Source organism: Homo sapiens, chromosome 3 (assembly GCF_000001405.40).
Source record: "Homo sapiens chromosome 3, GRCh38.p14 Primary Assembly".
Lineage (NCBI taxonomy): Eukaryota > Metazoa > Chordata > Mammalia > Primates > Hominidae > Homo > Homo sapiens.
The window spans coordinates 67,082,706-67,084,529 of record NC_000003.12 but is presented as its reverse complement, the minus strand read 5'-3'; the positions used below and the strand labels follow the sequence as shown (position 1 = coordinate 67,084,529).

Below are 1,824 nucleotides of genomic sequence, written 5' to 3'. Positions count from 1 at the left end.
GGTTTCACCGTATTAGCCAGGATGGTCTCGATCACCTGACCTTGTTATCCTCCCACCTCAGCCTCCCAAAGTGCTGGGATTACAGGCGTGAGCCACCGCGCCCAGCCGGTAGTCTTCTTTGAGTTAAATCTGCTTGGTATTCTTAACCTTCTTGTGCGTAGATATTGAAATCTTTCTCTAGGTTTGGGGAGTTCTCTATTATTGTCCCTTTGAATAAACTTTCTATCTCAATTTCTCTCTCTACCTCCTCTTTAATCTGCCCTCCTAGTTTTTGTTGTTTCCTAGTCTTGGTCTGGGCCTCAGGGATTTGTTTTACTTTGTTCTTTACAGTTAAGCTAAGGCTAGAATTCACAGGCAATATAGTCTTCCTTAGCCACTGAGTGCAGAACCTCACGCAACTCAATACACTTAAGCCTCCATTTTGATGGACTGAAAATACAAATGGACAATGGCCAGATCATATATAAAAAGAGAACTTTGCCCCACAGTCTGCAGCAGCCAGTCCAAGAAGTCAAATCACAATTTCTGTAGCCATCAGCCCAAAGTAGTCAGTACTTAATAGCTGACAGCTTCCCTAATTTTTGCCACTGTCCTCCCACTTCCTACTTAGAGCAACACAAAAAAAGTAAAATATGCTCCCCAACTCAATTACATTGGAACTCCACCTCCAGTCAGCCCACCTCCAGCTTTCCCATGCCAACAGCCTCCAATCAGGGCATACCTGAAGCCTCCTCCTTTTCCCTGTACGCTTTCCCTCTCCTCTGCCTGTCTTTAAGTCCATGTGGAGCACAAGTGATGGTGGCTGACTCCTTTGTATAGCAAGCTCCAACTAAATAATCTGTTTAATTTTCGTTTGGGTGGTCTTTGTCTCTACAATTTTCTTTTCTGTAAAAGAAAGCTTTTTGAAACAAAGAAAGGACCAAAAGACAAGTGAGAATCATTTAGAAGAGCAATTAAAAAACTCAATTCCAAAGAGGCAAAGAGATTCCTCAGCAGCCTGTGAGAGGCTTGGAGGTGGGCAGGTCACCACTTCCTGTGTACTCACTTCCTGCATACTCACTTCCTGCATATTCACCACTTCCTGCATATACCACTTCCTGCATACTCATCCATTTTACATATAGTGGGTCCGTGGAGGCTTGGATGGGAGAGTCTCACAGCTAAAATAAGTTTATAAAACTGTGAAAGTATAGTTTTCAAAGAGGCAAAAATTATGACTCTCAGGTAAATGTAAAATGAGTACATGCCAAATATTTTTATTCAATTCATTCATTAACAAAAGTCCCTTGACATATTAAAACCAGTTCAAAGAACATTTAAATGCCAGATGTTTGTAGGCAATACTAGGATAAGACTTCTGGGTTGGATACCAAATGGAATAATGTCCAAGAGAAGCATAACTGTCAGCTTTGGGGTGCTCTATTCTATCAAATAGAAATTATTTGCATTCCATAGGACAAAAATCTACAAATCAACCTCTGTCCCTACAGAGTTGTAAAATAGCCAAGCTAATAGAAAATCAAGCCCAGCATAACACTGAAGGAATATCTACTAATCTTTTTGCCTACTTCTAAGTTTCAGATACTTGTTCTGACCAAACCTAAGTCCAGATGAGAAAAACTGGGGTTTGGGAGGATTTATAACTGGCTCAAAGTCACTGGGCTCCTAAGTGCTAAGACTGATGTCAGAGCTAGTGACTCTGCAAAAGAATAAAAGTGAAAGCATCACTTCTTTTCCCTGGCCATGTCTTGTTCCACACAGAGGGGTGGTCGGGGCCTTCCTCCACACCCAGAAGTCTCCCACAGACAGTTCCCATCCACCGAG

The 1,824-nt window shown here is 42.0% G+C and overlaps 1 annotated feature.

Annotated features, from left to right (window-relative positions):
- Positions 383–1,582: an enhancer, noted in NCBI's record as "MED14-independent group 3 enhancer chr3:67133372-67134571 (GRCh37/hg19 assembly coordinates)". NCBI's record gives its function as "activates an origin of replication core promoter dependent on BRD2, BRD4, P300/CBP and CDK7 cofactors, and independent of MED14, by STARR-seq in HCT116 cells {active_cell/tissue: HCT116}" and the evidence as "EXISTENCE:reporter gene assay evidence [ECO:0000049][PMID:35650434]".